At 46.7% G+C, this 25,757-nt stretch overlaps 1 protein-coding gene across 3 annotated transcripts in view, besides 2 other annotated features; it reads left to right on the top strand.

Moving 5' to 3' along the window:
- Positions 11,200-11,249: a silencer, noted in NCBI's record as "silent region_6622". NCBI's record gives its function as "represses an Ori minimal core promoter by ATAC-STARR-seq in GM12878 lymphoblastoid cells {active_cell/tissue: GM12878}" and the evidence as "EXISTENCE:reporter gene assay evidence [ECO:0000049][PMID:35858748]".
- Positions 11,310-11,649: a silencer, noted in NCBI's record as "silent region_6621". NCBI's record gives its function as "represses an Ori minimal core promoter by ATAC-STARR-seq in GM12878 lymphoblastoid cells {active_cell/tissue: GM12878}" and the evidence as "EXISTENCE:reporter gene assay evidence [ECO:0000049][PMID:35858748]".
- CELF6 (CUGBP Elav-like family member 6) overlaps positions 11,336-25,757 on the top strand; it is a 35,431-nt gene continuing 21,009 nt past the window's right edge. For 2 of the 3 annotated variants that reach the window (NM_001172684.2, NM_052840.5), the window contains exons 1-2: positions 11,336-11,880; positions 15,566-15,648. In NM_001172684.2, coding sequence (NP_001166155.1) covers positions 11,619-11,880; positions 15,566-15,648 — 345 coding nt within the window. In that variant the 5' untranslated portion in view covers positions 11,336-11,618. Of the gene's footprint in view, positions 11,881-15,565; positions 15,649-25,148; positions 25,353-25,757 lie in introns of those variants that run through there. The other variant, NM_001172685.2, reaches the window with a different exon arrangement.

The following is a 25,757-nucleotide window of genomic DNA, read 5'->3' as shown; positions in this document are numbered from 1 at the left end:
GATTGAAGGATGCAAAGTATTGTTCCTCCATATGTATGTCTGTGAGGATGTTGCCAAAGGAGATTAACAAGTCAGACCCATCCTCAATCCAGTGGTCACAATCTAATCAGCTGCCAGTGCAGCTGGAATAAAGCAGGCAGAAGAACGTGGAAGGACAGACTGGCTGAGTCTTCTGGTCTTCATCTTTCTCCTGTGCTGGATGCTTCCTGCCTTCAAACATCGGACTCCAAGTTTTTCAGCTATTGGACTCTTGGACTTAAGTGATTTGCCAGGGACTCTGGCCTTTGGCCACAGACTGAAGACTGCACTGTCAGCTTCCCTCTTTTGAAGTTTTGGGACTCAGACTGGCTTCTTGCTCCTTAGCTTGCAGATGGCCTATTGTAGGACTTCACCTTGTGATTGTTTGAGTCGATACTCCTTAATAAACTCCCTTTCATATGTACATCTGTCCTATTAGTCCTGGCCTTCTAGAGAACCCTGACTAATACAGCTATGATCATGCCACTGTACTCCAGGCTGGGTGACAGAGTGAGACCCCACCTCAAAAAAGAAAAAAAGACTCGAGAAATTTTGAAAATATTTTAAACTAAATGAAAACGAAAAATACAACTTATCAAAATTTGTGGGATGTAGTAAAAGCAATGCTGCAAGAGAAACCTGTAGCATTGAATGTATATATTCCAAAGGGAGAAAGATATAAAATCAATAATCGGCTTCCACTTCTGGAAACTAGACATAGAAAATTAAATTTCAAATAAGGAGAGAAAAGAAATAATACAAATTAGTCACCCTAGCCTACATAGCAAGACCCCGTCTCTACAAAAAATAAAAAAAACTTACCCAGGTGTGGTGGTACATGCTTGTAAATCCTAGCTTCTCAGGAAACTGAGGCAAGAGGATCACTTGAGCCCAGGAGGTGGAGGCTGCAGTGAGCTGTGATTGCACCACTGCACTTTAGCCTGTGTGACAAATTTGTGGGCATAGAATTCTTCATAATATTCCTTTATTATCCTTTTTTTTTTTTTTTTTTTTGAAATGGAGTCACTACCTCTGTTGCCCAGGCTGGAGTACAGTGGCACGATCTCGGTTCACTGAACCTCTGCCTCCCAGGTTCAAGTGATTCTCCTCCTGCCTCAGCCTCCCGAGTAGCTGGGATTACAGGCACCTGTCGCCACGCCCCACTAATTTTTTTTGTTTTGTTTTGTTTTGTTTTGAGATGGAGTCTCGCTCTGTCACCCAGGCTGGAGTCCGGTGGCACTACCTCGGCTCACTGCAAGCTCCGCCTCCCAGGTTCACGCCATTCTCCTGCCTCAGCCTCCCGAGTAGCTGGGACTAAAGGTGCCCGCCACCAAGCCTGGCTAATTTTTTTTGTATTTTTAGTAGAGACGGGGTTTCACCGCGTTAGCCAGGATGGTCTCGATCTCCTGACCTCATGATCCGCCCGCCTCAGCCTCCCAAAGTGCTGGGATTACAGGCGTGAGCCACCGCGCCCAGCCTAATTTTTGTATTTTTAGTAGAGATGGGGTTTCTCCGTGTTGGCCAGGCTGGTCTCGAACGCCTGACCTAAAGTGATCTGGCTGCTTCGTCCTCCCAAAGTGGTGAGATTACAGGCATGAGCCACTACACCCAGCCTGCGTTATTATCTTGTTGATGCTCATGGAATCAGTAGTGATGGCCTATCTCTGTTTGTTGTTGTTGTTGTTGTTGTTGTTTTGTTTTGAGACTGGGGCTCATTCTGTCCAGGCTGGAGTGTAGTGGCACAATCACGGCTCACTGCAGCCTTGACCGACCCAAACTCAGATGATCTTCCCACCGAAGCCTCCCAAGTAGCTGGCACTACAGGCATGCGCCACCAAGCCCAGCCAATTTTTATATTTTGTAGAGACAGGGTTTCCCCATGTTGCCTAGGCTGGTCTTGAACTCCTGGACTCAAGCAATTGCCCGCCTCAGCCTCCCAAAGTGCTGGGGTTACAGGAGTGAGCCCCATCTCTAATTTTTGACATTAATAATTTGTGTCTTGTTTTTTTCTTGGTTAGCCTGGCTAGAGGTTTGTTAATTTTATTATCTTTTCAAAGAATCATCTTTTGATTTTGTTGATTTTTTTCTCTTTATTTTCTGTTTTCAATTTCATTGATTTCTGTTCTAATTTTTAAAGTTCTGGAGATATTGGAGTGGTCTGAACTTTATGAGATCTTGAGACTAACAAATCAACACTTCCTTCCAAGACAAAGCCCAAATAGAGGAGAAACTGCTGGCAGTAGAATCCAAATAGAACTTAGCAGAGACAATAAGGACAAAAAAAAAAAAAAAGAGAGAGAGAGAGAGAGAGAGAGAAGGTCCAGATAGAAGTAGGTGGCGTAGTAGAGGATGCCTGTCTCGGGAGTCAAAGATCACATTTGTATCACCTATTTTAAGGTAAAGAAAACTCTAAAGCTTTGAAGCTAGAAAAGCTATTCTTGGCCGGGCGTGGTGGCTCATGCCTGTAATCCCAACACGTTGGGAGGCCAAAGTGGGCAGATCACTTAAGGTCAGGAGTTCGAGACCAGCCTGGCCAACATGGTTAAAAAAAGAAAAATTAGCCAAGTGTGGTGGCGGGCGCCTGTAATCCCAGCTACTCGGCAGGCTGAGGCAGGAGAATCTCTGGAACCTGGGAGATGGAGGTTACAGTGAGCCGAGATCGTGCCACTGCACTCCAGCCTGGGTGACAGAGCGAGACTCCATCACACAAAAAAAGAAAAAGGCTATTCTTCCTATTGCTCTTTCTAAACAGAAAAACTCATTGCCCTTAAAAATGAACAATTAGGCCAGGTGCGGTGGCTCACCCCTGTAATCCCAGCGCTTCGGGAGGCTGAGGCAGGTAGGTCACCTGAGGTCAGGAGTTCAAGACCAGCTTGGCCAACATGGCAAAATCCCTTCGCCACTAAAAATATAAAGTTAGCCAGGTGTAGTGGCGTGCGCCTGTAATCCCAGCTACTTGGGAGGCTGAGGCAGGAGAATCGCTTGAACCTAGGAGGTGGAGGTTGCAATGAGCCGAGATCATGCCACTGCACTCCAGCCTGGGTAACAAGAGCGAAATTCCATCTCAAAAAAAAAAGCAATTAAAACTACTCAATTGAAGTCCATACATAAAAGAGGAGGATAGGGAATAATACCATAATGTCCCTGTTGACAGTGAAAGCATGACAGAAAGATTTACCCTTAAAACAAAAGAAAACCATTAAGAAAAGAAAAGGGACTATGAAAAATCAATATAAGAGTGAGAAAAATTCAAAAATGTGATGATTGGAAAAAATAAGATGTTTAAAAGTGAGGTTACAGAACTCAGGAGGGAATTAGAATAAATGAAAAGTTATTTCAGAAATGAAGTCTATTCTAGAAGTTTCACTAGCAAAAATGACAATGGATAATATCTTCAGACAAATAGAAGATTAAATGGAGGTGATCTGCCCTCTTTGGCCTCCCAAAATGTTGGGATTGCAGGTGTGAGCCACCGCACCAGCCATGGAGGATTTTAAAAAAATATATTTTTAAAGAAGAAAGAGATAAAAAAGGATTTGGGAGAAAGTGATCAAAAAACAAAACAAAAAACAAGATAGGCAGAAGATCTAACATATGTATGACAGGATTTCCTGAAGAGGAAAGGGAAAGCAACAGAACAGAACATACACTAAAACTATACTTTCATACCTTTTTTTTTTTTTTTTTTTTGAGAGGGAGTCTTGATCTGTCGCACAGGCTGGAGGGCAATGGATAATCTTGGCTCACTGCAACCTCTGCCTTCCGGGTACAAGTGATTCTCCTGCCTCAGCCTCCCAAGTAGCTAGGATTACAGGAGCCCACCACCACGCCTGGCTAATTTTTGTATTTTTAATGGAGACGGGGTTTCATCGTATTGGCCAAGCTGTTCTCGAACTTCTGACCTCAAGTGATCTACCTGCCTCGGCCTCCCAAAGTGCTGGGATTACAGGTGAGAGCCACCGTGCCTGGCCTAACAGTTTTTTGTTCTTTGTTTTTCTGAAATAAAAAAGCTTCAAACTACAGGTTGAATAGACACACATGTACCTGGGGTGAACAAACCCGGAATGGCCAATGCCTGAAGAGATAATGATATGTTCAGTGCCAGTGCTGGGGCCATGTTATGCAAATGAACCAAAGATGACCTCTGTATATTGGCCCTATGTTGTTTACTTCTTCAGAGCAGGCTGGGACTCATTAGCTCAAAAGCCCATTGGCACCAAACTCAAATTTTTACATATCCAACTATTTTAAATTTAGCCCAAATAGAATGGCCTTCACCATTGTTCTGATTTAGGCTGAGATAGCTAGACCTTTATAATCCTGTATTAATTAGTCATTGGATTTGGGCTGCCCTGGGAAGGGGCATGACCTTGAGGCAAACTCTGAAGGGGACAGCACTCCCCTAAACTATAACAACACATTCTTCACTGAAGGGTTGGGGGAAGGGAGGTCTTGACCATCACATCACAATGGCAGCACATCACACCACATGGGAGAAAGAAAATAACTGAGGAAACAATGACTGACAGTCCTCTTTAATTGAGGGAAAACATAAATGTGCAGATTTAGAAAGCACAAGAAATTTTAAGCAACTAAACACATCCTTGTAAAAGTGAAGATTGCCAAAAGAAATCAAAAGATCTTAAGAGCAGTCAGGGAAACACCAGCTACCTGCAAATTGACTGCCAGTTGATGTCTCATAAGCAAAAATGGAAACCAAAGTATGGTGAAATAATATCTTCAAAGTGAAGTAAGAGAAAATAATTATATATTTACTAAGTTATTATTCAAGAAGTGATTCGAAATAAAAGCATTTCCAGATAAGCAAAGCAGAGCTTATCGCCAACAGTCTCTTGACTAAAGGAACTTCTAAAGCACTAATTCTTAACCTTGCTTCCACACACATTGGATTCAACAAGGGAGTTTTAAAACATGCTGATGCCTGAGTCCCACCCCAGCAATTCTGATTCAACTAGTCTAGGCTATGGATGTAACAACTCCATACATAGACCCTTCTCCCACCTGCTATTAAGGTGTCATCAGAGAATGTCAAATGAGGAGCTAGGACTTGTATACCCACCCAGCATTAACAGATACACCTCTTATGGGTTCAGTGGAGACCGCATGGGACTCCTCTCCCTTCTTGATAGAGCAGTATCATAGGAGTCTCTAGTTGGAAGCTTCCACTCCTGCCCAGCAGTGAGGCCACCTTCCCTTTCATTTGAGGTGGTTTCAGCAGAGACCTAGTAGGAAACCTTAACTTCCATCCTTATCTCACAATAACCAAGGCAGTGTCCTTGTTTCCTCACTAGCTGGGGGTCAAAGGAGGCCTGCTAAACATGTTTAAATTAGATATAACGTTTAAATGAGATCCAGAATCTCATAATAAAATACCCAAAATGTTCAGGAATCAATTGAAAATCTCTCATTATACTAAGAATCGAGAATATCTCAACTTTAATGAGAAAAGAATCAATAGGCACTAACACTGAGATAACACACATATTAGAATTACCTGTCAATAATTTTTAAGCAGCCATCATGAAATGCATCATAAGTACTTGCAAACACACTTGAAACAAATGGAAAAATAGAAAGTCTTAGAAAAAAATAGAAAATATAAATGAAGACCACATGGAAATTTGTTTTTTTCAGACAGAGTCTCGCTCTGTTGCCTAGATGGGAGTGCAGTGGTATGATCTTGGCTCGTTGCAACCTCCACCTCCTGGTTCAAGCGATTCTCCTGCCTCAGTCCCCCAAGTAGCTGGGACTACAGGCACATGCTGCCACACCCAGCTAATTTTTATATTTTTAATAGAGACAGGGTTTCACCATGTTGGCCAGGCTGGTCTCAAACTCCTGACCTCACGTGATCTCCCTGCCTCAGCCTCCCAAAGTGCTGGGATTACAGGTGTGAGCCACCACACCTGGCCCACAAGGAAATTTTAGAATTAAAAAATACAACCAAAATGAAAAACTCAATGGATTCAATGTCAGAATAGAGAAGATAGAGGAAAGCATCAGTGAACTTGAAGATAGAACAATAGAACTTACCCAATCTGAACAACCAAGAGAAAACAGACTTAAAAAAAATAGATAGAATCTGACTCCTCAACCCCTTTGGCCATGGCAGGCACCTTTTGGACTGGGCTGCCACTGCTTGGGCAGAGTAAAAGGTGCCAGGAGGAGCATGGGGGTGGAAGTCCTGTCAGCCAAAAAATAAAAGTTTACCTCAGAGCTGCAAAAAAAAAAAAAGAAAAAGAAAAAGAAAGAAAGAAAAAGAAAGAAAGAAAGAAAGAAAGAAAGAAAGAAAGAAAGAAAGAAAGAAAAGAAAGAAAGAAAGAAAAGAAAGAAAGAAAGAAAGAAAATAGATAGAGTCTCAGGGACCTATAGGATTATTACAAAAGATCTAACACTCCTGTCATGGAGAGAGAGGAGAGGGGAGATGGGCTTAAAAAGTACTTGAAGAAATAATGGCTGAAAACTATTCAAATTTAGCGAAAGACATAAATCTCCAGATTAAAGAAAGTGAGCGCCAAACAGGATAAAGCCAAAGAAATCCATATCAGGACACATAATAATCAAACTTCTGAAAGTTAAAGACAAACATAGAATTGAGAAAGAGATGACAATCTCTTATGTATAAGAGAAAAACAGGATCTCTCATCAGATACTACAAAGGCCAGAAAGAAGTGGCACATTTTTCAAGAGCTGAAAGAAAAGAACTGTCAAACCAAAATTCAATATCCAGCAAAAGTATACTTCAGAAATGGAGGGGAGATCAAGACATTCTCAGATGAAGGAACACTTAGAGAATCTGTCACCAACATAACTACTCTAAAAGAATGGCTAAAGGAAGTTCTTAAAATGTAAAGGAAATGATAAAATAAGGAATCTTGGACTGTCAGAAAGGGAGAAAAAACAACTGAAAGAAGGAAAATGTGGGTAAATGCGATAGACTTTAATGCTTCTGAAGTTTTTTATAAATGCTGATTGTATATCATTGTCTAAAGTGGTTCTGAAATATATAGAGGAAATACTTAAGGTAATTATAAATGAGGGAGGATAAAGGGACTTAATAGTAGGTAAGGTTTCTACACTTCACTCAAACTGGCAAAATGTCAATACCGGTACACTGTGATAAGCTATGTATGTATAGAATAAGAAACACTTTATCAACAAGAGCACAGGAAAAATAAAACAGAAATGAACCAGGTGTAGTGGCTCATGCCTGTAATAATAGCTACTTGGGAGGCTAAAGTGGAAGGATTGCTTGAGGCCAGGAGTTTGAGACCATTCTGGGCAACATAGCAAGACCCCATCTCTAAAAAAACAAAACAAAACAAAACAAAAAAACAAGAAGAAAGATAAAGAAAAGAGAAATGAAGAACATAGGCAACAAAAAGAAAACAAAAAATTAAGTGACAGACTTAAGCCCTAACATACCAATAATTACATTAAATGTAAATGTAAATTACAGGCTCACACCTGTAATACCAATAATTACATTAAATGTAAATGGTCTAAATATGTCAACTAAGACAAAGATTAGTAGAGTGGACTTTAAAAAAATGACCCAATTATATGCTGTCTAAAATAAACTCACTTAAATACAGCTATATACGTAGCTTGAAAGTAAAAGGATAGAAAAAGGTATATTTTGCAAAGATTAATCAAAAGAAAACATAAATGGCTATATTAATATCAAAGTAGCTCTCCACACAAAAAGCTTACCAAGAACAGAGTGACATTGCATAATAATAAAAGTATCAATTCATCAAGGCATCACAGTTTTTAATGTTTATGCCCCAAATGACAGAGCTACAGAATATGTGAAGCAAAAACTAATGGAACTGAAAGGAGAAATAGACAAATCCACAATTACAATTGAAGTCTTCAACACCTTTCTCTCAACAATTGATAAAACAACTAGACAAAATCAGCAAGCATATAGGGCCAGGCACTGTGGCTCTCACTTGTAATCCCAGCACTTTGGGAGGCTGAGGTGGGCAGATCACTTGAGGTCAGGAGGTCAAGACCAGCCTGGCCAACATGGTGAAACCGCTTCTCTACTAAAAATACAAGGTTGGGCACAGTGGCTCACACCTTTAATCCCAGCACTTTGGGAGGCCAAGGGGAGCGGATCACTTGAGGTCAGGAGTTTGAGACCAGCCTGGCCAACATGGTGAGACCCCATCTCTACTAAAAATACAAAAAAAATAGCTGAGTGTGGTGGCAGGCGCCTGTAGTCCCAGGCTTGGGACTGAGGGTAGCAAAACAAACCTCAACAAATGCAAAAGAATTGAGGCCAGGCTCAGTGGCTCACACCTGTAATCCCAGCACTTTGGGAGGCTGAGGCAGGCGGATCACCTGAGGTCAGGAGTTGGAGACCAGACTGGACTACATGGTGAAACCCCATCTCTACTAAAAGTACAAAAATTAGCCGGGCATGGTGGCGGGTGCCTGCAATCCCAGCTACTCAGGAGGCTGAGGCAGGAGAATTGCTTGAACCCGGGAAGCAGAGGTTGCAGTGAGCCAAGATCACGCCACTGCACTCCAGCCTGGGTGACAAAAGCGAGACTCCATCTCAAAAAAAAAAAAATTGAAATTATACACAGTGTGTTCTGACCACAATGGACTCAAACTAGAAATCAATAACAGAAAAATAATAGGCAAACCTCCAAACACTTAGAAACTAAACAATACATTTATAAATAATATATGGATCAAAGAGGAAGCCTCAAGGAAATTTTTTACTGTATTTTTCTTTTTCTGCAGAGAACTTTGTTCTGATTTTTGAATTGTTTTACTACTTTTGGGGTGAAAATTTTAAAAAATACATAGGACTGGGCCAGGCATGGTGGCTCACACCTGTAATCCCAGCACTTTGGGAGGCCTAGGCAAGCAGATCACGAGCTCGGGAGATCGAGACCATCCTGGCTAACATGGTGAAACGCCATCTCTACTAAAAATACAAAAAAAATTAGCTGGGCGTAGTGGCGGGCAACCGTAGTCCCAGCTACTCGGGAGGCTGAGGCAGGAGAATGGCGTGAACCCGGGAAGCGGAGCTTGCAGTGAGCTGAGATCGGGCCAGTGCACTCCAACCTGGGCGACAGAGCAAGACTCCATCTCAAAAAAAAAAAAAAAAAAAAAACTACATAGGACTGAATGAAAATGAAATTCCAGTAACCCATTTCGTGGTCAACTTATTACAAGGAGTAACTTTCTGTTAAAGGAGAAAAATAATTTATTTTATTTATTTATTCATTTAGTAAAAATGGGGTTTTGCCATATTGGCCAGGCTGGTCTCAAACTCCTGATCTCAAGCAATCCACCCACCTCGGCCTCCTGAAGTGCTGGGATTACTGGTGTGAGCCACCGCATCCCGCCAGAAAAATGATTTTTGAAAATCATAATTTGCTGCTGCATTTTTTTTTTTTTTTTGAGATGGAATCTCACTCTGTCACCCAGGCTGGAGTGCAGTGACACGATCTTGGCTCATTGCAACCTCCACCTCGTGGGTTCAAACGATTCTCCTGCTTCAGCCTCCAGAGTAGGAGGAGCCCGCCACCATGCCTGGCTAATTTTTGTATTTTTAGTAGAGACGGGATATTGTCATGTTGGCCAGGCTGGTCTTGAACTCCTGACCTCAAGTGATCTGCCCGCCTTGGCCTCCCAAAGTGCTGGGATTACAGGTGTGAGTCACCATGCTCAGCCAGAAAAATAAATCATTTAAAAATCATGATTTGCTTCTGAATTGAATATTGTTTTAAGAACTTTTTGATGATTCCAGTTGCTACTGCTGGTCTCCAGCAGTTTCTTAGAATAGTCAATGGACACAAGTTATGTTAAAATCTCTATTAGGCCAGGTGCAGTGGCACACTCCTGTAATCCCAGCACTCTGGGGCACCGAGGTGGGTGGATCACTTGAGCTCAGGAGTGTTCTAGACAAGCCTGGGCAGAATGGTGAAACCACCATCTCTACAAAAAAAAAAAAAGAAAAAAAATTATCCAGGCATGGTAGCGTGCACCTGTCATCCCAGCTACTTGGGAGGCTTAGGTGGGAGGATCGCTTGAACCCAGGAGGTTGAGGCTGCAGTGATCTTAGATCGCACCACTGCACTACAGCCTGGGTGACAGAATGATAACCTATCAAAAAAAAAAAAAGGAAATCTCTATTAAAATAATTAGCAATTTTACTGAAAGAGGCATGAAAAATATATTATGGAATAAATATATAATTTATGAAGTATGTGTCTTTGTCCAAACATTGTATTACTACTTTGTGCAAACATCACTGATCCATCAAGAGAATACCTAGACATGTGCAGGAGTAATAAAATTCCATCAGCTCTGATATTTTGCCAACTTTCAGTCATATAGAAAGCGTAGCTGTACATATGTCTTTCATTTTCGTAATTCTGAACCTGTATTTGTGAAAATAAGAGGGGAACATATTTAACAAATTGTAATTTGATTTGTATCTTTTAAATGTTTAGATGCACAGTATGTCGATTTCCATTTCTTATTTTGCGCTGGGCCCAACAAATGTTGGGGTGGGCCTGGCCCTAACATCCTCGACCCTCAGAACCTCAGCTTCCTTTTCCGGAAAAAGAGAACACTCCTGAGTTCACAGAACTGGGATGAACTGGGCACCTGGTGCATAATGGGTTCTGAGTAAATACGGCTAAGTTCCCTCACTCTCCTAAGGAGGAATCCGTGTTCAAGGAGTGTTTAAGGGGTTTTTATTTTATTCTTCCTTTCTTTTTAAGGCTGCAAGGGAGACGAATGTGTCTGAGGCTCAGGGGTAAGAAAGTGGTTAAAGACACCGAAGACAGAGATGTGTGATGGGGCGGGGTGGGATTGGCTCCGAGGGACTGGCTCGATAGTGGGAATAGAGAAGAGGAATCCCCATCCACCCCCGCAGGAAACGCACCAGCGTTTGGAGGTGTGTGTGCCTGCGTGTGCCTGCGTTTGCCTGTGTGTGCCTGTGTGTGCGGTGGGGATTAGCCCCGACTCCGGCAGACACCATCACGCATGACGAAGCTGCTTCCCCTCACGCGGCCCAAGGCGCACACGCGCGATCCACGGCCACGCCCGCACACACTCGACACACACAGGGCATTCGAGGGTCCGGTTGCCATGGCGAGCAGGAGCGCGTGAGCCCAGCCGCCCCCCCCGCCCCCGGCGAGCCCAGTCAACTCCCACTCTGATTGGCGGCTGCTTCCTCATTATGCAAATCATTTGCGTAGACTCGGCGGCCAGCTGCCTGACGTCACCAAGCACGGGGGCTGGGGCTCGGGGCTCGGCTCTGGGAGAGCTCGGGCGGGAGCCCAGAGAGAGCCGCACGGGGACCTCAAGCCAGACCCCAGCGTTCAGCCGCCACCTCGGCCCGGGCCCGCCCCGCCCCGGCCCCGCCCCTTTCCTGCCCGCCCCACCCCCTCTACGCCCCTCCACCCGGACCCCGCCCCCTGGGCAGCCCCCCGCCCTCTCCGCCCGGGCTCCGCCCCCTCCCCCTGGCCCTCGCCACCGGTCCAGGGAGGGGACGGCGGGACAGGCGGGACCAGTGGGACCGGCGGGAGGGCTGACAGGGCGGGGACATGGCCGCGGCGCCGGGAGGGTCAGCGCAGCCCGCTGGCCCCGGCCCGCGCCTGGGTTTCAGCACCGCGGACAGCGGCGTCGGCATGAGCGGGCTAAACCCCGGTCCCGCCGTACCCATGAAGGACCACGACGCCATCAAGCTCTTCGTGGGGCAGATCCCGCGGGGCTTGGACGAGCAGGACCTCAAGCCGCTGTTCGAGGAGTTCGGCCGCATCTACGAGCTGACGGTGCTGAAGGACCGGCTCACCGGCCTCCACAAAGGTGCGCGGGGTCAGCCCAGCCCAGCCCAGCCCCAATCCGATTAGAGTGTGGCCCGACCCCAGCCCAGCCCCAGCCCTAGCCCTGCCGAGAGCCAGTCCAACACCAGTCCAATATCAGCCCCACCTCAGCCCAGCCCCCTTCCCAGATCACAGAATTTTCTCTCTGACATCCTCCCTCTGATTATCACTGTGGTCCCCTAACATGTTCTCCACTCTAACCTCCAAATTCCTGGCCTCCACCTCTCACATCCCAGCAGTCCCTGCCTTTCAATTGGACCTTTCCACCACCTCTCCCATCAGACCTAAAATTCTGGAATTTGAAAACTTATTCCACCTTCTAGATCTCGAATACCCTCAATTTCCCAAACCCTGAGCCCAAACACTCCTGAATCCTCCATCTGGTGGCACCTCACTCAGGCCTAACCACCCACATGCATATCTTGGACTTGCACCCCTCCTCTGGCCTCCTAGTCCGGCCATCCCCCTCAAGAGCCTTCTTTTGACTCTCAGACTGCCAACCTAAAACACCGCAGACCCAAACCCTCCCCTTCTTCAGAACCCAGACCTGTCTAACACAAAATCCAATTCAATTCCCAGGAGGCTCTCAGTTCCAGACACCCCCTCATGTTCAACAACAGCCCCAATCTCTCCTGCCCTTCGCCAGAATCCCAATGCACTCTACCTCTTTTGATTTCAGTTCAGAACCCTGACCTCAGCTGGGAACTCCTGCCACCCTGTGTCCCTTTCTTCTTGGATTTCTCTCAGCTAAATCCACACTTCTTTCCTTCTCTAATCCCCTCACTCCTGTGCCTCTTCTTTGCTCCTCCCCAGTCCTCTTTATGGCCTCTTTCTTTCCCTCCCCTCACAGGCTGGTCCCAGTCCAGGCCCATTCTCAGGGTGAGTCAGGCTGAAGAGACAGAAGGAGATCTTCTCCCTGCCCTTTCTAGAGAGATACACGGTCCTGTTCGGCCACACCCCTTTCTTCCTGTAGAGAGAGGGAGGAGGCTTGTTTACATGCAGAAAAGTCTGTCCAGGCAGGGCTGGAGTAAGAGAGCCAGAGTCACATGTCATACATGGGCAGGAGAAGGGGAGATGATTTGAGAAGGAACACTCTTATCTCCTCCCCCACCACCACCACCATGCTGTGCTTTCAAGTTTTTGCTGGGAAAGAGTCACCAACTATCCTCCATGATCTTCCTAAGAGAGGAGTGGTGGGCCTTGGGTAACAGCTAAAGGTACATTCCTAAGGACTGAGAGCTGGAATCAGACTGCCACCTCTTCAACTTGGAGGCCTCGTAGGGTTCCTTGGCACACTAATGTAGGCACTTCGAGAAAATGCCAATAGAAGAGCTAGGACCATCTGGCTAGGAGTACAGCTTCCACCCTTTGGGCTGGGATTGTGTTAATGGGTGTATGAAAGGACAATACCTCACCATCTAGAGTCCTTCTAATGCACTCCCACTACCTGCCTGTCTGTCCATCCCTCTGTAGTAACTCATTTTCTTATTTTTAGACATTGATTTCAGGATGTACATACAAAGCTAATCTTTGTAGGCCATCCGTACAATAAGGGAAGTGTATAGAATACCCTTAAATCTCACTCTTCTCACTATCAGTCTCTGAACTGTTCCCTCATCCTCTCTCTTTTCATTTAGCTCTAATTCTGCCTGTTATTTTCATTCATCTGTCTCTCAAACCATGCTTCTCTGTCTTTTCTTCCCTTCATTCTTCCACCCTCTATCCCGGCTAGTCCACATGGGGCTTCTTTAGGCAGCAACTGGGCCCCTGAGCCTTTCAGACAGGCAACCTGCCCGGTTTGGACGTCAGGTGATATGGGTTGGTAGCAAAACACAGAGCAGGGATGTAAGTGGAATCAGGTGTTTGGTGATTTATTTCCAAACTAAATCACAACTCTCCAAGGCAAGTGTTGCCTTCCAAGATGATTGTAGAGGGTCTCCAAGTCAACATCTTCCTCATCCTCTCCCCAGAAACAGTGACTCATTTTCCTTTTGATGTCTGGGTACCGAGGCAGGCAGCCACAGTGCTTTGAAAACAACCCCAGCTTGGGAGTTAAGACATTCCAAATCCTGCCCTGCCACTGACCCACTCTCTGGGCTTCAGTTTCCCTGTTGATGTGATAAGAGTTTTGCTCAGTTCTCTAAGTTCCCTTTAACTCAATGAATGTCCGGCAATAAACCCATCTTAATGGGGCAGCCCTGTAGAAGAGGCCAGAAAAAAATGTTCCCATTTGCCTTTCTAATCTGCTGAGGTCTAAGTGGAAATCTGCCCCAAGTTCCTAATGGCTCACCATATCCACTTTCTCCTCCTTCAGTCCTTCTCCCTCCTACACTCAGAATGCTCCTTTTGAAAACAGATCTTATCATCTCACAGATCTGCTTAAAACCCTTTAAAGTGGCTCTCTATTGCTCTTAGGAAAAAGTTCAAAATCCAACTGAGGCCCACAAGGCTACATATGACTTGATTCCTGCATATCTCACTAGCCACTCTGCCCCCATACACCAGCCTCCAGCCACACTAACCTATCCATTTCCCCAACACACCAAATTCTTGATTCAGTCTTCATATATGCTTTTCCCTCTGTCTGAAATAATCACTGTCCTTTTCATCACCTGATTGTTAAGGACTCAGTGTTCTTGTTCTCGAGGACTCAGTGCCTTCTTTGAGACATTACTCAACCCTTTGGACTTGTTTAGGGGTCCCTCATGATTTGTCTAATCCCCATGAGGGCAGGGAATGTGTGTCTTGTTGCCACTCTATCTCCAAGGTCATCAAAATGCCCCACCATAATAAGTAAGTGTTCAATAAATATTTTCTGAATGAATGAGTGCTCAGTGGCTGTTGGAAAGGAGGAGAGTGCTGCTTCAGTGCTTCCTAGCAGGCTACAGGTCCTGAGGCTGAACAAACAGAGGGCTAAACTTGACCCTTTGGCTCAACCTAGACCTCTTCGCTGACCCATATATGCTGGCCCTTTTAGAGGAGCCAGATTTGAGGCACAATAACTCTTTAAGAGGCCCTACCTCAAAGCCCTAGGAGGGTTGACAGATCAAGATCCTTGAACAGGATTAGGGGGTCCCTGGAAACTCCCACCTATGGGAAGCCCTTAAACCAATCCCATCTTCTAAGTCTCAAATCAATCCATTCCCCAGCTTCAAACTTAGGGGAGGGAGACATGGACAAGAGCTGGGGGCTCCTGGGGTTGGCTCCCAATCCTTCTTTTACTCTTTTGCCTCCTCCCATCCGAAACTGAGTTGGGAAGGAATTGAGGCTGATCCTGGGAGACTCCATGAGTCTGAATCCAAAAAGGAAGGGGAAGTCTGGGTTAAAGATGATGATAAAGCTGCTTAGGGAGGTTTAACCCCAACAGGACTTGTGACTGGAGTGGGGAGGGGAGATGTGGGATTGTATGCACATGTGACTGGGTGTGGGCACATATGTTCTCTGGGCAGGATGCCAGGAGCAAATGAAAGGGAGCCAGAGCCTGGGACACTGGTCCCCAGGCACATGAAGCCCCTCCCTCCAGAGGTGGGAGGCAGAGAGGGCTTCTCAGAAAGCAGAGTCCTTGCTTAAAGGAGAGTGGCCTTAAGTTTGTCAACTTAGTGGGGTATTTCGAAGAAGAATAGTTGGGGGTTTCAGGAAACCCCCTGAGCCAGCCTCTTCCTCCTCAGGCTGTGCCTTCCTCACCTACTGCGCCCGGGACTCTGCTCTCAAGGCCCAGAGTGCACTGCACGAGCAGAAGACCCTGCCAGGGGTAAGTCCTCCAGGTTGGGGGGTGGGAATCACCTCAGGCTGGGGACAGTGCCCTGTGTGCATGCCAAAGCAGCATGTGGGGGCTGGGTTGGGACCGAGAACTAGAAGCAGAGTCATCTTTCTAGGAGAGGGCTTCCTGTACCCTGAACAGCAACAAATTCTTTGTTACATCCAATCTTCTGGCTCAAAAAAGGGGCTCAAGATCCTTGGGCCAGGCGTTCCACCCATCTTTTAGGAGAGGCATCAGTGTTGAGGGCTAAGCTAGAATTTATTCACCTTGGTAAAATTATGGCTTTGGGTGTCTCTTGTCACTGGTGTGAGCATGTATGCAGATACATGGGGTAGAGGTTCTGCTGGACTGGTAGCCCATTTTCTCTAGTCCTAAGGTCCTTGCTGGAACTTCTCTCTAGTCCTTTTCCTGTAATGGTTATTTTTGGTGCCTTGACTCACTAAGATTGTCTTCCCTCCACACTGCAAACACTTGGCTAAAGTTAGGGGAGACCTGATTCTACAGGCAGCTTGGCTTGTAGGCACCAATGGTACCTGGTCTGGTCTTGGCTAATGGATAATCAGTCAACAAAAGGCAAGGTGGGACCTACTGACCATATGGCAGAATAAAGGGGTGATCGTTAGTAACTAGCATGGGTTTACCAAGAGCAAGTCATACTATACAGCCTTGTTTTCTCTTGTCCAAGAAGCGGTGTGTCTAGAACAGAGCACTGTTTAAATGCCATTCACAGGCCAAACTTGGGACTATGTCCAGTTCTAGGCCTCTCAAATTTAAGAGAGTCGTTTGTCTACAAGAAAGAGACGAGGATGAAGTAAAGACACAAGATATATTTGGAATAATAGTTTGGAAGAGTTGGGATGATTTAACTGGAGGAGATAGGGCTTAGAGGGACTTTAATAGGGAGGCATCATAAGCTAATAATTAAAAATACTGGTTTTTGAGGCCGAGTGCGGTGGCTCACGCCTGTAATCCTAGCACTTTGGGAGGACAAGGCGGGCAGATCACCTGAGGTCAGGAGTTCGAGACCAGCCTGGCCAACATGGTGAAACCCTGTCTCTACTAAAAATACAAAAATTAGCTAGACATGGTGGCAGATGCCTGTAGTCCCAGCTACTTGGAAGGCTGAGGCAAGAGAATCACTTGAACCTGGGAGGCAGAGGTTGCAGTGAGCCAAGATCATGCCACTGCACTCCAGCTTGGGCAACAAAGTGAGACTCAGTCTCAAAAAAAAAAAAAAAAAAAAAAACACTGGGTTTTGAGTCTCACAGACCTGGATTTGAATCCCAGCTCTGCCATTTATCAGTTCTGTGTCTCTGGGCACGTTACTTGGACTCCTGAGCTTCAGTCTCTTTAGATATGAGGAGTGGGTTATACTAACACCTAGCTCGCTTGGCTGTAGTGAGGATTACTTGAGGCTTAGCAAGTGCCTGGCACAGAGTAAGATCTCAATAAGTACTACTGTTGGGGTTGGGGTAACTACCTTCAGATTCTAGAAGAGGGGTTTGGTTTTCTATGAGTGATCCCAGAAGGCAAGATTCGGATCAGTTAATATAATAAGAAATAGGCACTGATTTCAGCTCAGTATAAAGAAGTCACTTCTCTGAATTGGAGCTACCAAGCAATGGAGCAAGCTTCGCCAAGAGCTAATCAAGCTGTTAATGGGGTGACAGCTCCTAGAACCAAGCACAGTAACTGAAGCACCTTTAGCCTCACTTTTGGGGACTAAGTGCCAAGTAACACCAATTTGTCACCATCACTGGTCCTCTGTATGCAAGCTCCTGAGTCAGAGAGACCTGGGTGTGGATCCAGGCCCACCACTCACTAGCTTTGTGACTTTGGGCAAGTCTTTACTGCTAAGCCTAAGTTTCCTCACCTGTAAAGTTAAACTCATAGGGTTGTTGTCGTGGTTAAATGAGCTAAGTCATTAAGTGAACTAAAGTACTCAATGCTGTTCTTGGCAGAAAATAAGCACTCGATATGAGTTAGCTGGTGGTAGTAGTGATAGTAACAGTAATAGTAACAGCAGCATTAGTAGGAGTAGGAGTAGAACTCATCATTCATCTAATCATGGGAGCAAATGACTTCTGCTTCTAGAACTGAGAGTCAATGAGACAAGCTGTAACATTCCATGTGGGAAACAGCATGGTAAAGGTGCAGACACAGAAGGAACAGGTGGGTGTGAAATGCGGCTGGCACTGTGGGGGAGGCCCACGTGAGCATGGAGGGAAGCTGGAGGGAAGATCTACAGAGGGCAGCAGTTGAAGATGAAACTTTGAATGCCAGGCTTTACCCTGAAAGGAAATGGGAGGTCCCCCCCAAAAAAATTAAGATAAACTTTGGGAGGAAAAAAATCTCTCCTCCACAAGACACAGGGCTCTGCCCAACTAATTTTTGTAATTTTAGTAGAGATGAGGTTTCACCATGTTGGCCAGGCTAGTCTTGAACTTCTGGCCTCAAGTGATCCACCCACCTTGGCTTCCCAAAATGCTGGGATTACAGGCATGAGCCACCGCACCAGGCCTAAATAAGGTATTGTTATTGGCATTCCCATTTTACAGGTGAGAAAACTAAGTCATAAGAATCAAGTGACTTGCCCAAGGTCATATAGTTAATAATGGGAAGATCTGGACTTTGGGCCCAGCTAATCTGGCCCTAGAACTCATTCACTTAACCACTGTACTGTGACCTGAGACAACCAGGTAGCAGACAGGGGTCTTAGGTTCTAGAGAGAATGGTGACTGGGGACATCTTCCCCCTCTCACTGTTTCATCTGCAGGTCTCCAACATGGCCTGGCTTCCTCTGATACTGTCAGGATTGGCTTTATTCACCCTCTCCAGCTTAACAAAGTGAAAATTAATATTTAATTATTCTCCTAAATGAAAATCAATGGCTGTGTTGGCCAGCCCCAGCAATGCCTGTGCCATCAATCTTTCCTCTGGGCCTGCCAGGGACAGCAGCAACTTTAGTCGCCTGGCCTTAGGCCCACCAGCATGGAGGAGGAGTGCCCAGCTCTCTGCTGCCATTGGGTCCTGAGCACAGCTGCCACCTGCTGGAGAAGCAGGGACAAGACTTTAATCTGAATTCCTGCTGGCATCAGGCAGGACTGTCACCATGGGACCAGAAAAGGCTAGGTCAGCCCCCAGAGAGAAAAGTCTGAAACCCTAGGGGGAATTTCATGGTTTGTTTTTTGTTTTTTGTGTTTTTTTGAGACACAGCCTCATTCTGTCACCCAGGCTGGAGTGCAGTGGTGCCATCTCAGCTCACTGCAACCTCCACCTCCAGGGTTCAAGTGATTCTCCTGCCTCAGCCTCCCAAGTAGCTGGGATTACAGGCACCCATCACCGCGCCAAGCTAATTTTTTTGTATTTTTAGTAGAGACAGGGTTTCACCATGTTGGTCAGGCTGGTTTTGAACTCCTGACTTCAAGTGATCTGCCCGCTTCAGCCTCTCAAAGTGCTAGGATTACAGGCGTGAGCCACCACTCCTGGCCAAGAATTTCATGGATTCTGATTGACTAAGACCTTCTTTTGCTTGGCTCCTCTCCATTTGTCCCCTGCCAATTTCTGTCCCCTATGAAAGCTTGCCTCCCTATTCGAGAACTCCTTCAAACCTTGGTTGGTCTGTCCCACCTGGCTCCCACCTCCTGCAGCCTCTTCCTGATGAAGCCAGAATTCCTTCTTTTAGCCTCACTTTATGCTCCAGAATCCACCTGAAGAGGGTGAGGCCTAGCCTCAGCCCCACTTACGAGATGCATAAGGTGCCTCCCTATTTGTTTATCTCCCTGTTCCTGACTTCCCTTTCTTTGGGAAGCCATCCCTTCAAACGCTGTGAAGAAGGCAGATGTTACTGAGTAGGGGAGTACATTTGCTTTTGCAAGTTGTGCCCTGCACAAAACAGCTTGGGTAGAGAGGGCAGATGGGGGCAAAAATCCAGCCATGCTCTATTGACTAAGTCATGCACATTATTTCAAGGCTTTGTCAGCCCAGAGGAAAGGGCACATTTTTTCTCATTCATCCCAGGGTTGGGGAGTGCCTTTTTATAATTTACAGAAAGGCACTGTATGTGCTAGCAACCACTTCATGAATGAGTCTGAGTCTTTGCCCTCAAGATGCTTCTTAAAAATGAGTCTCATTGGCCGGGTGCAGTGGCTCACGCCTGTAATCCCAGCACTTTGGGAGGCTGAGGCGGGCGGATCACGAGGTCAGGAGATTGAGACCATCCTGGCTAACACAGTGAAACCCCGTCTCTACTAAAAATACAAAAAATTAGCAGGGCGTGATGGCGAGCGCCTGTAGTCCCAGCTACTCGGGAGGCTGAGGCAGGAGAAAGGCGTGAACCTGGGAGGCGGAGCTTGCAGTGAGCCAAGATCGCATCGCTGCACTCCAGCCTGGGTGACAGAGCGAGACTCTGTCTCAAAAAAAAAAAAAAAGAAAAAAGGTGAGCCTCATTGCATCTCACTCAGGCATACATCTGGGCAAGTAAAAGAGAGACCAGAATTGGGGAGGGAGTCCCAGAGTCAAACCGTAAAGGAAAAGGCCGGGTGCGGTGGTTCACACTTGTAATCCCAGCGCTTTGGGAGGCTGAGGCGGGCGGATCACTTGAGGTCAGGAGTTTGAGACCAGCCTGGCCAACATGGTGAAACCCCGTCTCTACTAAAAATACAAAAATACAAAATAAAAATAAATAAATAAATAAAGGAATAAAGAAAAGAATAAAAAGAAATGGGGAGGGAGTAGATGCTTTGCAGAGATGTTATCTGAGCTGAATCATGATCATATTTTATCATATTTGAGGATCTAGAAACCTAAAAGACAAGAAAATTTGGGGACAGTGTGAACACTGGCAGGGAAGGTGTCTAGCAAAGATAGCTAAGGCTCCACATGAGTAGAGAGAATCGTGCATGTTGGGCAGCAGTGGAAGAAAGACTCACAAGTTTTGACAGCTAGTCTTAGAATCTTGGGCTTTAACAGGAGGCTTGCAATGGGGGAACAGAGGTGGATTTTAAGCAGAGAAGAGTAAGAGACTAGGTTCAAAAGATTACTCTGGGCCAGACATAGTGGCTCATGCCTGTAATCCCAGCACTTTGGGAGGCTGAGACTGGAGGATCGCTGAGCCCAGAAGTTTGAGACCAGCCTGGACAACATAGTGAGACCCCGTCTCTACAAAAGTTTTTTAAAAATTAGCCAGGTGTGGTGGTGTGCCCCTGTAGTCCCAGCTACTTGGGAGGCTGAGGTGGGAGGGTTGCTTGAGCCCTGGAGGTCGACGCTGTCTCAAAAAAAAAAAAAAAAGATTACTCTGGCTATGGTGTGAAGAAGGTTGGGTTGGAAAGGAAGCAACACTGCAGGCTGGATGACCCTTTAGTGCAGTGTTGCTTGAGTGTGGATGAATGGTGATGCTGGCCTAGAGCTGGAGATAGGCCAGGAAAGGAGATAAGAGGTTAGATTTCAGAGCTGTTTAGGATATCCATATAGATTCTAGAACCAATGGGACTTGACAGTGGGTTGAATTAGAGGAGGGGGGTGAGGTAAAACAAAGTACTAAAAATTAGAAAGTTTGGTTTTTTTCTGTCCCACTCTGCCCTGCACCTCCTGACACCTTTCCCAGACCTACCAGTGTTCCCTTCCTCAAGAAGGTTCTGATAAACTCTTCCCATGGAATGGGGAGTGCTGAGGGTGTGAGTGCTCAGTGAAAAGAATAGTTGGCATCAGGGCAGAAGAATCTGAAAAGGGCAATGCTGAGCCCAAAGGGAGGAATTTTAGACAAATCAGGGCAGAGAGTTAGGTAGGGTTTTGCTCTCCCTTCTGCTCACTGGGGCAGAAGGTCCAGGGCCCTGTGCGTGTCTGTGCGGCCTCTGACCTTTCCCACTCCATTGCCTGGAATAGGTTGTTCTCTCTGACATTCTATCCCTTGAATTCCCCTCCAGGGCTGGGCTCTGAAGCAGACATGGGCCTGGACTCCACCTGGGAAATTCTTAAGGGAACAGGTGCTCAGCCAGGGCAAGAGCTCACCTGAAGTCCCAGGACAAGTTTTTGGCCTGGGAGGCAATGTCCTCTTTTCCTCAAGGGGGACTCCTGATTACGTCCTGATTATCCCACTGCCATGTCCCTCCTCTGCCCATGGCAGGAACAAGATATATATAATAGGTTGCCCAGGAAGCTCATGGGGGCAGCTCTCTTTCTCCTCCAGCCACACATAACATGCCTAAATCCCAGGTGTCCTCCATCACCACTGCTCTGTGGGGACTGAAGGCTCAGAGCCCTGCTCTCCCCAACTCTGTTCTTACTCTCTTGGGTTCCTCCCCTGGGGACTTCCTTGTACCCCCAAACTCCCAAACTCCCACCTTCCCCAACTCCCAAGCGATGAACCTGAGGCTCAGCCAATATGCCCTCCTCTTCCCGGGTCCACATATCCAATAGAACTATAGCCCAGTTAATTCTTCCTACACATCTGTTAAATCTGTTCATTTCTTTCTATCCAGGTCACATTCACCTCTCACCTGTGCCACTGATCTTCTTGCCTCTAATCACTCCTTTTCCAATCCTTTCTCCACATAGTGACAGCTTATGGGATCCTTCATAAGACAAAACTGACTAGATGATTCCTCTACTTAAAACCCTTTCCTGTCTGGGCATAGCGGCTCACACCTGTAATCCCAGCACTTTGAAAGGATGAAGTCCAAGGATCGCTTGAGCCCAGAAGTTTGAGACCATCCTGGGCAACATAGTGAGACCCAGTCTCTACAAAAAATTTAAAAATTAGCTGGGCATGGTGGCATGTACCTGTATTCCTAGCTATTTGAGAGGCTGAAGTAGAATAATCGCTTAGCCCAAGATTTGGAGTTTGCAGTGAGCTATGATGGCGCCACTGTACTCCAGCCTGGGTAGCAGAGTAAGACCACAGGTCAGGAGTTTGAGACCAGTCTGGCCAACATGGTGAAACCGTCTCTACTAAAAATACAAAAATTAGCTGGGCATGGTGGTGGGTGTCTGTAATCCCAGCTACTCAGGAGGCAGAGGCAGGAGAATTGCTTGAACCTGGGAGGCGGAGATTGCAGTGAGCTGAGATCGCGCCACTGCACTCCAACCTGGGTGATAGAGTGAGACTCAGTCTCCAAAATAAATAAATAAATAAAAATGTTTAAAAAAAAACATTTAAAAATCCTTCCCTCCCCTGGATCCTCATTGCCTTTGAAATACAACAAAGTCAAAAGTCAAAATTCCTTGATGCGGTTTTCACAGCCTTCCCTAATCTGGCCCTTGCCTACCTTTCAGTTTCATATCCTTAACAACAATAACAACAACAAAAACCGGCCAGGTGCGGTGGCTCACACCTGTAATCCCAGCACTTTGGGAGGCCGAGGCAGGCAGATCACCTGAGGTCGGGAGTTCAAGACCAACCTGACCAACATGGAGAAACCCCGTCTTTACTAAAAATACAAAATTAGCCGGGCATGGTGGCGCATGCCTGTAATCCCAGCTACTCGGGAGGCTGAGGCAGGAGACTTGCTTGAATTGGGAGGCAGAGGTTTCGGTGAGGCGAGATTACGCCATTGCACTCCAGCCTGGGCAACAAGAGCAAAACTCTGACTCAAAAAACAAACAAACAAAAAAAAACAATAACTTTTTATATCTGAGGTATCTACTAAGATCTAGCAGTTGTCATTTTCATCACAACGCTGCAAGTTAAGATCATGATTCCCTCTTCACTAGTGTGGATATTGAGGCTCAGAGACCTTAGAGAAGCAAGTGGTAGAGCCAGGATTGAAATCCACATCTATCTGCTAGGAAGCAATTTGCTCTACCATGGCTACTCCCATGCCAAGTGCTCACTAGAAACTTTGCTCCTTCAGGCTTGCAGCTCCCTGTCCGTACCCTAGCCATTGCAGCTCCCTGTCCGTACCCTAGCCATTCAGCGTGCTCAGCCACCACTCCTACCTCTCCTATTATCTCTACATGGCCAATGACCCCAGTCCTGCAAGGCTCAGGTCAAACATTGCCTCTTCTATGCAGCTTTCCTCAGTCAACCTCTTCAGCTGGAGTCTGCCTCTTCCACAGCTCTTGACCTTGCACTCCCCCGAGGCCCTGGTCCCTCTGTGCCTCACTATTTGTGTTCATGCCTTAAGAATGGATTTGAGCAGCACTCCAGTGCAAAAATCATGGGCTTCAGCCTCAGACAGATCTGGGGGTAAATCCCAGCTCAACCACTTACCCACCATGGGATCTTAGACAAGTGATTTCACCTCCCTCAGCCTCAGCTTTCTCATCTATGATATGGGGACACTTGTATTCCCTTGAAGAGTGGTTGGAAGGATTTAGAGACAATGTATGTAAAGTGTCCCAGGAAGGGCCTGGCACAGAGTGGGCTCTCAGGAAATGGTAACATTATCTTCCCCTCTGCGAGCCTATGAAGAGAGGATCCCCATACAGATCATCACTGTCTCCCACGAAAGGCTGCCTGGGGCTCATCACAGAGTTCAGGAAATGCTGGCAGCATGCCTGGGTGGTGGGAGGCCTAGGTCAGGTCCAGGGGGGAACATGTATGTACCACCCGATGCCCACTCTCTGTTGAAGGGTGGGGAAGTGGGTGGGAGGAGAGAAGGTGGCGTCCCCCAGAGCACCATCTCCCAGGAAACCCAGCCAGGGAGGCAGCTGCCATGGAAACTGCTGCTGTCACGTGTGCTCGTCACTCTAGGCTCCAGAGAGAAATTCTCAGGATCTATTTAAGAACTAATAAAATAATGATGGTCTTGCTCACCCTCACTGCCCCCCACCCCAGGCTTCTACTCTTTTGGCCTTCTTCCCTACCAGGCTCCTCCCTGCCTCTCCTGCACCCGCTTCCTTACCCTTCCTCTCCTCATTTCCTTCCCCTCTCCACCAGTAACTCTCTTTCCTTGCCCCTTTCTAGAACTGTCTTTCTCTCACATCATTTCTGTCTGCCAGTGTTTCTTCATCTCTCCCTGTGTCTCTGCTCTCCATGGCTCTGTCTCTTGGTCTTTCCTCCACAATCACAGGTGGCCATGCCCAGGGACGGGTCCTGTCCTCCTGGTCCCTGGTCCAGGCCAGTCCAGACCTGTCAAGCTCGCCCTGATCTGCTTGGATTGATCTGTCATCCCCTCTAGACTGCAACCTGAGTCCTGTTGGTGTCTCCGCCCCCACCCACAGCCTGGTACACTGCAGGTGCTCCACCACCAGCGGGTGGGTGTGTCAGAGCCCTGGGTGGGAGGGGAGTTGCGCTGGTTCAGACTTGGCCTGTTCTCTTTTCCTTTTTTTTTTTTTTTTTTAGTAAGCCCTCCCTGCCCCTCCCACCCCCAAATTTGATCCAAAGGAAATTGCTCAACTGTGACTGCCAGGGCGTTACCATGGTTACTGGGTAGCACTTGTGGCTATGGTAACAGGAAGCTGCCTGTTGTCTCGGCAACGAGCAAATTGGTAAGGGATGGAGTGGCCCCTGATTGGTGCAGAAGCAGAGCATTTCCTGAGGGGAGGGGGTCAGATCATCACCTTCTCAGGCCAGATGGGCATCAGTACCCCTTCCTCCATGAACGGGAAGGCCGCTGTTTTTCCCTCCTGGCACTCAGCTGCCTGCCCCCCAACAATAATTCCTCACCTCCCACGCACCCAGCTCTTGGCAGTTTACAAAGACCTTTTGCGTCCCCATTACCTCATGTGATCCCCACAACACCCATGAGAGGAAGGTGAGATGGGGATTCAATCATGAATTCACTCAGGGTGGTTGGGGGATGGGGATGTGGGGGCGATATATTGAAATCACCTAGGAGCGTTTTCAAATTATGCAATACCCCAACTTAAGAGCCTCATCTGGTTCCTGGGTGATTTTTATCTACACTTCCTCAGGAACCCCTGAATTAAAAGATGAAGTTGGTGGGAGCGGGGAAGGGATGGAAGGAGAAGTCAAGCTGCTTTCCAGGCTTATAGCTTGGGTGACTGGGAGGATCAGGTTGGGGCAAAAAAAAAAAAAAACAAATGAGCTCTCGTTTGGGTGTGTTGAGTGAAGGCGCCCGTGGGACTTTCTAGTGGGGATGTCCAGCAGGCAGCTGGTAACATGGCTCTGAAGCTCAGAGGAGAATGCAGGCTGGAGA

Source organism: Homo sapiens, chromosome 15 (genome assembly GCF_000001405.40).
Source record: "Homo sapiens chromosome 15, GRCh38.p14 Primary Assembly".
Lineage (NCBI taxonomy): Eukaryota > Metazoa > Chordata > Mammalia > Primates > Hominidae > Homo > Homo sapiens.
This window is presented reverse-complemented; position numbering and strand designations above follow the sequence as displayed.